Source organism: Homo sapiens, chromosome 1, assembly GCF_000001405.40.
Source record: "Homo sapiens chromosome 1, GRCh38.p14 Primary Assembly".
Lineage (NCBI taxonomy): Eukaryota > Metazoa > Chordata > Mammalia > Primates > Hominidae > Homo > Homo sapiens.
The window spans coordinates 5,102,069-5,114,753 of record NC_000001.11 but is presented as its reverse complement, the minus strand read 5'-3'; positions in this window follow the sequence as shown (position 1 = coordinate 5,114,753).

The window sequence follows — 12,685 nt, the reverse complement described above, 5'->3', positions numbered from 1 at the left end:
AGATTAGAAAGACTCAGCGACGCTTGGGGTTGGTACTGAGGGGACAGGCGGGAGGGAAAGAAGGAAGATTTGGGATGAGTTGCACTGGGCACAGAGACTAGGAAAGGACTGATGTGTAAAAGAATGCCTGGACGTCAGGCACCTCAGACCGTTTGCCTATTTTGCGACAAGAATTATTTAGATTTTGCAGGATGGAAAAATTCAAAGTGCCGTTTTGTGGCTATTTGGAACTACTGTTGTGTATTGGGGTCAAGCAGCATTGCAGAAGACTTTTGCTGTGAAATGGTTCTGACATCTGCCTGCTTCCCTCATCTTATAAGCATAAAATACATCCTCTAGCAAGTGTTTATATTTATATCTGTCTGCTAGTCATGGTTTTACCTTTTTCTAAGAATTTCCTTTTAACACATTCAACAAATATTTGTTAAACAGCAGTTATGCACTGATATGGTTTGGCTGTGTCCCCACCCAAATCTTACCCCTCCAATAATTCCCATGTGTTGTGGGAGGGACCTGATGGGAGATAATCGAATCACAGGGGCAGTTTCCCCCATACTGTTCTCATGGTGGTCAATCCGTTTCACCAGATCTGATGGTTTTATAACCATCAGATTGGCTCTCATTCTCTCTCTTGCCTGCTGCCGTGTGAGATATGCCTTTCACTTTCTGCCATGTGGCCTCCCCAGCCATGTGGGGCTGGGAGTCCATTAAACCTCTTTTTATTTATAAATTACCTTGTCTGTCTTTGGTATGTCTTTCTCAGCAGCATGACAACAGAATAACACATGCACCAAGGATAGTGGTAGGTCCTGGGGCTGCAAAGGTGAATGACACAGTCCCTGTTCATAAGGCCATGGCATTTCCCCACCATAATAGGAAAAGGCTGAGGGAGTACAGCAAATGCCTTCACTAATGCCTGTAGCTCACCTACCTCTAAGCTGACTTTGTAAGATCTGAGGCCAGACCAGTCAATATCAGCCTAATGTCCTGACTTGATGTCCCCAATGATGGATACAAGTCATATTTTATGTGGCTGTGGTCATCTGGACTATACGTAATTATGTACACTGCTTTTTAAAAAGGTATGTTTTATAATTAAGGAAAACTACATGCTCACTGCAGGAACTTTGGGAAATCCAGAGGAGCATGAAAAAAGAAAATCTCCATAATTCTCATAAATACCGAGAAAAACCCCCAACACCCTCACTTCCTCCCCTGACCACCAAGCAGATGCCTCTACCTCCTCCAGCCTCCTATCTCTTTTCCTTCCTCTCCCTCTGCCTCTCAGTAAGGATGATCTGAACCGCATTTCCACTCCTTGCCTCCCACCCACTGTCAGCCCACACCAATCCGCTCCATTACTCACCTAGGAGAGAGACCTCCTGCTGAAGCTGTCAGTGACCTCCTTTGCCTTAAGTCCAGTGGACACTTGTCTCCTCAAGGCTTTCATCCAATGCAACCCTGTTGAGGTTGAGCACTGTCTTTTTTGAAGAACACCGTTTTGCCCTGGCTCTTCCACTCTTCCATCTTTTTTGGATTTCCTTCATATTTTCAGTCTCTCGTTGCCACTCTCATGCAGTGTAAACCAAAAATAAAATTCTAAGGCCCCTCTGCAGCCATCTGAATGGACCCCTCTTCTTGGCCAAGGGCACTCCAGAGTCAACCTGAAAAACTAGTTCAGGCCATGATGGGAAGGGAAGCTGGGCATACCTCATTATACCCTCCTTCATTTTGGAATTACTGATAGAATAGCCTCTTTCAGTCTGATAGGAAACAGTTACAATCTATTCTCTCTGAAGCCTGCTGCCTGGAGGCTTCATCTGCATGATAAAGCCTTCGTCTCCACAACCCCTTCTTGTGATCCAGACATTCCTTTCTATTGATAATAATTCATCCAACCAATCATCAATCAGAAAATCCTTGAATCCACCTGCGACCTGGGAGCTCCCACTTCCAGTTGTCCTGCCTTTCCACACTGGACCGATGCACATCTTCTGTGTGTTGATGGATGCCTTATGTCTCCCTACAATGTAAAAGCCAAGCGTGGCTCCACCGCCTTGGACACACTCAGGATCTACCGAGGGCTGTGTCATGGGCCACTGGTCACTCATATTGGGCTCAGAATGAATCTTTTCAAATATTTTGTGGAGTTTGACTTTTTTTTTGACAGCTCATTCTTCTACCCAGTCACTCAATGTGGTGGCTCCTTAAGGCCTCATTTAGCCCTTTCCTTCCTCTCCCTCCCTCTCCCTCTGCCTCTCCCTCTGCCTCTCCCTCTGCCTCTCCCTCTGCCTCTCCCTCTTCCTCTCCCTCTTCTTCTCCCTCTTCTCCCTCTGCCTCTCCCCCTTCCTCTCCCTCTGCCTCTCCCCCTTCCTCTCCCTCTTCCTCTCCCTCTGCCTCTCCCTCTGTGTCACCCTCTTCCTCTCCCTCTTCCTCTTCCTCTGCCTCTCCCTCCCATTTTCCTCCTGACTTTGCTATGACCATTGCTTCAGCAGCCACACATTCTCCAAAGACCCCAACAATGTCTCCAGCCCATTCCTTTTGTATCTCAGATCCACACACCCAATAACAACTTGTGTTTGTTGGGGTCTTTTTCCTGCCAAGCATGTTTCTAGGCACTTCCTTTGTATTATTTCATTTTATCCTCCTGACTACCCTAAGGTTGGCATTATTACTGATAAAAGTGTTATACAAATAAAGACACCCACCGATGCACAAAGACATAATGTAACTTGTTTAATGTGACAGAACTAATGAGTGGTAAAGTCAGGATTTAAAAGCAGGCAATCTGACTCTTATGCCTACAATACTATGCTGAGATACCAGCTGACTGTCCCAAATATTCACCCATATACCTCAAAAACACCTCTTCCTTAATCTAGACCTTATCCCATGCTTTATAAATCAGTGAGTGACATCATCATCCATCTAGTGAGTGACATCATCCATCCAGTGAGTGGCATCACCATCCATCCAGTGACTGACATCATCCATCCAGTGAGTGACGTCATCATCCACCCAGTGAGTGATATCATCACCCACCCAGGGAACATCACTGGCTCCCATTTAGCAAATGGCACTGTCATCTTCCCAGGGAGTGGAAGTGCTATTCCTCCAGCAAACAGCATCGTCATAACCCAGTGAATGACATGGTCCTTCACCCATCTTGGGGATGGACCTGCAAATCTTAACTTGTAGACTCCTCATTTCCTCACACCGGTTGATAAACACACATCTGCATGATAAAGCTCTTGTCTCCACATGTAGTGGAGATGACTGCTAAAATACCTCTTGAAGCCCTTATGGAAGTGTGACCCTTTCTTTCAGAGGATTGTTTCAGTTTAAAAGTAAACAGTGATTTGTCTGGTTATTTGGCTAATGTCTGAACATGGGTGCTAGACCATAAGCCACATGAGATGAGAGTTTGAACTTCTTCTTGATCTCCAGCCACAAGCTCTAGGTGCTCAATCAATATCTGTTGGAAGAATTAACTCACGGAGTTTCTCAGTCTTTTATGGTGATAGTTAATGTAAGTAAAGGATACTGTGTAGCCTGATTTTAAGTGTAGATAACGCCTTTGCAGTAGACAGAGATAGACAGAGTGAATGTTATCAAACCCAACTGGGGTCTGCTAGCCCAGGGGAAGAAAACCAAACAGGGACACTGGAATCACAGCGAGAGAAAGCCAAAGGGAGGCATTTATTGCAGGGCACCAAACGGAGCACTGGGCAGCTCATGTTTAAGACCTGAACTCCCTAAGGGTTTACAGGTAAGGATTTTAAAGGTGGGGAGGCAGAGGTTACAGGCAAAGTCATAAATCAATACATGGAAGCTATATATTGGTTTGACCTAAAAAGGCGGGACATCTCAAATCTTGAATTGGAGGAGGACAGGTCATCGGTGGATCCAGAGATTTTCTGATCTGCAATTGGTGGAGGAGGTAAAATGTTGCCTGAAAATTTGGGATCAGCCGACAACAATGTTAGCTCAAGCTCATGGGTGTGGCCTCCACCTTCTGCGGGTGCAGCCACACAGGAAGAAACTGAGACCACAGAACCCCAGTCAGCGTTCAGTCCTTGGTTCCCCCTTATCTGAGGTCTATGGGCTAGCGAATCCATTTAGTGGGAGTCTGAGTTTCTGAAAAACAACTCAGAGACCGATGTGAAGGTTGTTTCTTTCGTTTCTATAGAGAACCAAAAATTCTCTTGACTTCCTTGGCTATTGTTTTAAGCTACTCTTAGCTCCTCACTTATCAACTTGCTCATTTACTTCTGAAGGTTAGCCAGGTGCCTAGAATGTCCCTGGAAGGAATTCAAGATTTTCCTTTATTTCCATGCTTGGGTGGGTCCACAGACCCCAACAAAAGGTCCCTGCTCCATCTCATGAACAGCAGCTTTAGTGTCAGATGTATAATTGTATCATTATCAGTCTCAAGAAAATTCAGTGGCTCTGGCCCTTTAACATGAGATTTAAATTTGCAGAATATGATTTCTAAAGTTCCACGGGGATAAAAATAGCTATTGTGTTTCTTCCTGTTTCTCCAGTTTTTAGAAGGAAAAAAATATTATTCATTTTATAGAGTGCCCAAATATTATAACTCACTGGCTTAAAACTGTGTTTGCATGTTTTGTTAATTGGCAGAGTCCTATTTCCAACTAATTTCTGTGTGAAACCATAAGTGAGATATTTTATCAGTTTAAATATTTTAAAAATTAAAATTAGTCATATTTAGGGATAAATTCAACCACCGAGAAAGATGAGGACATTCTAATAAATATCGAAATTACAATCAGGGATTTTATCTCCGTGGGGCTGCCGTGTCCATCTCGGCATCTCAGTGATTTCGGTCTGTGGGTTTTTTGTTGCACAGTGCGGAGACTATCTGGATGTCTCACCTAATTACTTGTTGCCTTGGTGAAACTCCATTGTGGCCGAGTCGTGCTGGGCAGATGCCTGTTTGTTCTTGCCATTATCTCAGCTTGAACACAAGCTGATTTACAGTTTTTCCGCATCCTCATTCCACCAACCCACCCCTTTCCAAATGAACTATCCCCCAAAGCATGGGCAGGTTGTCCATATTTTACTGAAGCCTTCTTGAAGAAATAAGGAAGTGGATTCACGCTGCAAACCACACAGTAGGAACGTCTTTAAGAAACTTAATGTCCTTTGTTTACTCTTTGCACCTGATTCTCTCATCTAATGATGTCAATGGTCACATATCTCTTTGTCCTATATTTTTTATTTATTTTTTGTCATGTTGGCCAATTCAGCTAATATGATTACAATATTCCGTGCTACATACTGAATGCCCAAATCTCATACTTGGTATTAACTTTAATCGTTCTGTTCCCACTAATTCTTGAGATATTAAATTTATTATATAAATTTTAACTTCTTCTTTGAAATTTATTAAATTTACTACATAAATAATAATATAAATTTGTTATTTTATTAAAAATCAACACCATAAAGCCACCAGCTACATTGCAGTAATAAACATTTACTGTGTTTTGCTCTGCTTAAAAAACAAAACAGAAAAACTCACATAGACATCCCTGCTCACTCAACAGCCCTCTGTGCCTGCAGACCACCCCTCATTCTCTTTCTTGTCTCTCCCTTGCCAGGGTTTCTCCAGCCTTTTAGTCTGAGCGTTTCTCTCTTTCTGTCCTTTCCCCCAGCTTTCTCTCTCCCTCTGGCTCTCTCTCTCTCCCCACTCTCTTTAGTGCAGAAATAATTCAGCTCCTTAGATTCTCTGCCTTTGCATCCCACGCTCTGTCTAATACTAAAGGCCACCACTAGAACATGACTATTTACCCTGAGCAAACATGAAATCCAGTTGAAGAGTCACCTGCCCTCCAAGGCAAGGAGCATTGCAAATAACACATTTATATAGATTTCCGCAACAGATCTGTTGGCTGCTTGAAAAGCAGAGTCATCAGACGTCTTTTTGTTTCAAAGTTTAATCTATGAATGTTATCTATTCTCCTACTCCTTCCGGAGAATATAAAAGTCAAAAAAAGAGCCTGTAAGATTTACAGTAAGTGTCAGAAACACCTATAATGGTATACAATCCGGATACCTGATATTTCCCAAGTGATAGCTGTTGACAAAGTTTGTTTGCTTGGCCAAAATTTAGCCAGGCACATCACCGTACCTCCTTTTAAAATCCAGTTTTAGAAAAGAGCCTTGCTAAGTTAGTTTAGCCAGAATTCCCCACCCTCAATATCTGATTACCCTCAATTGATACCTCATCCTCCACCATCCCCCACGTGATGTCTGACCACCCTGGCCTGCCTTCAGCAAAAATCCTGTTAGGTTGGTTGAGTCAGAATTCCCCTTACCCCAGAACTGAGCCCAATCTGTCTCCTCTACTGCAAAACCCCATTGCAGTGGTCCCCGCACCAACACAATGGTCCTGAGTAAAGTCTTCCCTACTGTGCTTTAACGAGTGTTAACGAATACTTTTTTCTTTGACACGCTACAGGGTCATACATGGATCTAACCAAGCATAAATTCTCTATTGACCATAATACTGTGTACAGAAGTTAACCAGTTTCTACAGTGTTGTGAGAAAGTACATTAAAATGCCCAAATTATAAGTGGATACTTGCAAGGTGCAAACTGCTCAGTCAGTGATATACCTAGAAGTTTAAATGAATGAGGGTTGGGGGAGCAGATCAACTCTCAGCTTACCCAAGTTCATTACCCAAGATAATCTACTGGGAGTGTCTTCAATAAGTTCAATCTTAGTATTGAATACATCTCAATACACACTTTGTTTTTATAATGTTTCAGACTTCAGAATTTCATTTGTAGCACCTCAGAGGTGCTTGTATGCCACCCTGGCATCCCGTAGAATACAGTTGAAGAATAAAAAAAAAGGGATAATTTAAGCCACTGTTCAGCAAATACAGGACTAGAACGAGAATAGGTGTTTCATATATTCACCTTTTAAATGTCATCAATTTTTGGAAAATGGCTCATCTGACTTGTGATATAAAATATATTTTATAAAATAGACATTTTCAGGCAGTGTAGAAATAGATGAAGAATCACTTAGCTAGCACTTGTGAAAATATAATCGAACTTTGCTTTTTGAGTTTGGTGTCAAGAAAACAAAGTTCTTTAAAGTCACTCTTTCTTGGGTTCACTACTGGGATTAATCTGGCAGGTCTGATAGAATGAATTATATGTGACTCATGTATTTCCTGAGCATTTATAACTCTCACAATTTCTTTTAATTACCTTCATGCATGTAAGACAGATTTGTTAGGCACAGAATTTGAGTATACAACATTTACCTTCAAAACCCTATGGACATTGCACACTAAGAAAAGACAATAATTAACTTGATTTTTTTCCTTCTTCTGTTGTCCCTCCCTGGACTCCCTCCGCCTGCCCACTGGGCTGCAATATCTACGACCTTCTCCCTCCTCATTTTCACCTTGGTGACTTCTTTCTCTGTATTTTAGGAGATTGACTCATTTTTTCTTCACATCATTTGTTTAATTTTCCAAATGTCATTTTTGCTCTTTATTCCCTCCAGAGCTGATTTTGATTGTACCATTTGACAAGATTTTATAAATTGCGAAATGTAGTATGGCTACAAAAAAAGTGGATGAAATATGAATGGATGATTAAAAGTGCTAATGAAGTGCTAATGTAACATGAATATTAATTTACCCACCAGTGAAGCCAAGAAATAGCTCATAGTCATGAATGACTCTGCCCCTTGAAATGTGTTCTTTCTGGTCTCAATCCTCTGTTTACACCTCCCTTTTATAACCATACCCCAAATTTTCTGTTTACCTTTCCCTTGGTTTGATGTATATATACATATGTATTACTTAGTTATTCCTGTATTTATTTTTGTCAGTTTTGAAACTGTATGTATACAAGTAGACTAATACTCTGTGTATGCTTCTATGAATTTATTCTTTTACTTTGCATAAAGACTTGTCCATATTGATGCACATGGCTGTAGTTTATCATTCTTACTATTACACACTCAATGGTAGGTGGCAAGTGCCTGTAGTTCCAGCTACTTCATTTAACAACTGGCTCTCTAGGTAACCAAAGCTCTGATTTGTACTGTTTACCCATTTCCATGGTGTAAATACCTCCAGCACAGCTGATTTCAAGCCACAATATAAAGCCACTTTAAGCAGAGTTGGGAAGAGAGGTACACAATTGGCTCTTGCAAGACAGGATGAACTGGCTCAAGCTATCACTCTACATGAGTATTTCACTGTGACAATCTACAACTTATTTATCCATTCTGCAGTTGATGGAGGGCTGGGTTGTTCTTAATTTTGCTGCTATTATAAACAATGTTATTAAAAACAGGTTTGGCTATGCTTCCAGTGCATAGGTACAAGTTTCTTCACGATCTAAACTTGTCAGAGGCTATGAGCATGTTCAATTTATGGGTATATAAATTTATATAAAATATAAACTAGGTAGTTTATATTTTGGATGCTGTTGCAAATATCTTTTTAAACCTAAATTTCTGATAGAAATTTAGAAATGCAATAGAATTTGCCTATAGATTTTATATCTAGAAATTTTTACTAATTTCTTCTGGTAATTTAGGTATTTAATCTGTGCATTCCTTCAATTTTCAATTTCAGCCTTCTTTGTCAATACTGTCATAAAGAGTCTGGCTCTATTTTTGATGCTTGCTCCCAGATTTAACAGTACCTCTCTGACTTCCTCTTCTACCCTATGTCTGAGATCCGAGCAAGCTGATAAAAAGACAATGGCCTTTCCAGGGCCAATGGTGCAGATCAACAATTCTGTCTCCTTTCCCACATTCTGTGGTCTCTCACAGTTAGGCACAGCCCTGTGACAAGTTTCAGCCAATGGCTGTGAGTGGAAATAAGTTGTGTCAGTTAACCAAAGAATAGAGGAACCAGCACTCCACTTCCAGCTATATTTCCCTTGCTGCTGGGATCCATTATGGATGATGTATCCACTGTCAGCGCCAGTCCCTGAGTGACTGGGGTGGTGAAGGACACCTTCCACTTTCTCACTGGTCATGTTGTGTGAGGCAGAAATAAACCTGTGAGGTTTAAGTACCAATTTCATTCAGGCTTAATAAATACACATTTATATAAGTCTTGACATAAGGCTAGGTTTATTATTTATTCTTTAAGAGTACCTTCACTATCTGGAGACATTTTTACTTCCTTGTAAATTTAACATTCATCTTTCTATGTTCCATAAAAAACCTTGGAAGAGTTTTGAATAGAGTTTAATTTGGGCAAAACTGAGAGGTGGTTATTCAATCTGTAAAAAATATCTTTTATTAAAATTCTATAATTTTTCTCTCTGAAAAAATTTTATAATTTTGTTAGGTTTATTTCTAGGTAGTTTATATTTTGGATGCTGTTGCAAATATCTTTTTGAATCTAAATTTCTGATAGAAATTTAGAAATACAATAGAATTTGCCTATAGATTTTATATCTAGAAATTTTTACTAATTTCTTCTGGTAATTTGGGTATTTAATCTGTGCATTGCTTCAATTTTCAATTTCAGCCTTCTTTGTCAATACTGTCATAAAGAGTCTGGCTCTATTTTTGATGTTTGCTCCCAGATTTAACAGTACCTCTCTGACTTCCTCTTCTACCCTATGTCTGAGATCCAAGCAAGCTGATAAAAAGCCCTGGGTGCTCTATCCTTTGTCACCAGCTGTGAAGTTCAAGCCACTAGGCCCCCAGCCCCACCTATATCAATGTTCAGATTAGTTTTATCACATAACTACAATAAAAACCCCAGGTCAAGGCAGGGCGCAGTGGCTAATGCCTGTAATCCCAGCATTTTGGGAGGCTGAGGCGGGAGAATTACTTGAGCCCAGGAGTTTGAGACCAGCCTGGGCAACATAGTGAGAGCTGGTCTCTACAAAAAACACATTAGCCAGGTGTGGTGGTGCGTGCCTGTAGTCCCAGTTACTTGAGAGGCCAAAGTGGGAGGATCATTTGAGCCCAGGGAGTTGAGGCTACAGTGAGCTGTGATCATACCACTGCATTCTAGCAAGGGCAACAGTGTGAGACCCTGTCTCAAAAATAAATAAATAAACAAGCCCAGGCTCTGCTCTCCCCAGAAAGCCTCGATAAGTGAGGAATAAGCCTCCCATACCCTATGTGTACAGGCATGGTGCTATCCATCCCCATTGTGAATCTCAACCACATTTTCAATAGGGAGCTCATGGCCTCTCTGCAGGGTAACTACAACACAGCAACATTTTTGTTTCTTTCATTCCAATTTTTATGTCTTTATTTTTCGTGCCTTATTGAACTGACCAAACTTCTTACTTATAAAGTTAGAAATACAAGTGGAACAGTGAACATCATGATCTATTTCTTCACCATTAAGAATAAAATTTGCTATAATATTTTTTTAAGTTACTCTCTACCAAATTAAAGAAGTTCCTGGATTTTCTAAGTTTGGTATGAACTTTTGTCATGACTTGATGTTAGAAGTTATCAAAAAGTTTTTTTCTGCGTCTGGTGGAATAATCATATGATTGTTTTTAGTCTATGAATGTGGTAAAACGCCTTAGGTAATTTCTCAATACTGAATCCACCTTGCATTTCTGAGATAAGTCCAAGTTGTTTGTGGTTTATTGTAATTTTAAATCATGCTGGATTAAGTTTATTAATATTTTGTTTAGGATTTAAAAAAAAAAGATGGGGCTGTAACCTTCTTTATACTGTTTGATACAGATGTTGCAATTATGGTCGTGCTAGTCTCCTCAAATAAATTTGCAGGCATTTTATCTTTTTCCAAAGTTTGATATATTTTAAACTTGGAATTATTGCTTCTTAAATATTTGCTGTGGGATTTTTCATTTTTCATTTGTTTACAATTTTAAACGTATTGGAATGTGTGTGTGTGTGTGTGTGTTTTTTGAGATGGAGTCTCACTATGCTGCCCAGGTTGGAATGCAGTGGCACAATCTTGGCTCACTGCAAACTCCACCTCACAGGTTCAAGTGATTCGCCTGCCACAGCCTCCTGAGAAGCTGGGATTACAGGTGCCCAGCACCACACCCAGCTAATTTTTGTATTTTTAGTAGAGACAGGGTTTCACCATGTTGGCCAGGCTGCTCTTGAGCTCCTGACCTCAGGTGACCTGTCTGCCTTGGCCTCCCAAAGTGCTGGCATTACAAGTGTGAGCCACTGCACGCAGCCTGCAATGAATATATTCATACTATTTTCTTATTAGTTTTCATATCATAATTTTATCCTTAATATTTTTTATTTGTACTTTTTCCATCTCCTACATGAACCTTGCCAAAAATGACCAGTTCTATTAGACATATTTAAAAACCAACTGTATTAGTCTGTTCTCACATTGTTATAAAGAACTACCTGAGACTGGAAAGTTTATAAAGAAAAGAGGTTTAATTGACTCAAAGTTCCACAGGCTGTACAGGAGGCATGGCTTGGGAAGCCTCAGGAAACTTACAATCATGGCAGAAGGTGAAGGGGAAGCAAGCACATCTTCACACAGCGACAGGAGAGACAGCATGAAGGGGGAGGGGCTACACACTTTCAAACAACCAGATCTTGTGAGAACTCTATCATGAGACAGCACTAGGGAGATGATGCTAGACCATTAGAAACCACCCTCATGATCCAATCACCTTTCATCAGGCCCCACCTCCAACACTCAGAATCACAATTCAACATGAGATTTGGGTGGGGACAGAAAGCCAAACCATATCACTGGCATTTTCAGCTTTGTTGAGTTCCCATATGCTTATTTTCTAATTTTTAATTTCTTATTTCATATTTTAATATCTTACATAAGCTTATTTTATATTTATTCTATTATTCTTTCTCTGCTTTCCTAAGATAAATTATTTTCTAATTAATTTTCAGACTTTCTTCTATTCTAATATCATTCTTTATGGCTTTATATAGATGGACCTAGCATGTTTTGATATGAAGTATTTTTATTATATATCTAGTCCACATCTATTCTAATTTCTATTATGGCTTATTCTATCATTAACAAGTTATTTATTAGTGCATTTCTTGATTTCTAGACATATAAAATTTTCATAGTTATTTTTAAAAATTGATTTCTAGGCTAGGTGCTGTGGCTCATGCCTGTAATCCTGGCATTTTGGGAGGCTGAAGCAGGTGGATCACCTGAGGTCAGGAGTTCGAGGCCAGCCTGACCAACATGGCGAAACCCCGTCTCTACTAGTAATACAAAAAAATTAGCTGGGTGTGGTGGCACGTGCCTGTAATCCCAGCTACTCAGGAGGCTGATGCAGGATAATCGCTTGAACCCGGGAGGTGGTATATTAATCCTTTGTTGTTTATGGAGATTTAGTTTACAATTTATGTGTTTGCAAAGACTATGTTTTCTCTTGATTGCAGAATTCTATATGTCTCTTAGGTCAGATTTTAAAGATCAGCTTATTCAAATAGGCTACATATGAACTACTTTTTAGTCAGAGTATTCTATCAATTCCCAAAAAAGTGTTAAAAGTCTCCCAGTATGATTTTGTATTTGTGTGTTTCTCTTTTAATTGTTTTTTCCAAATTTTGCTTATGTATTATGACCTATGGTATTAGGCACATATAGTACCTATGGTATTAGGTACATATAATTGCCCCCCTTATCCATGGAGGATCCATCTCAAGACCCCAGAGGGTGCCCAAAACTGT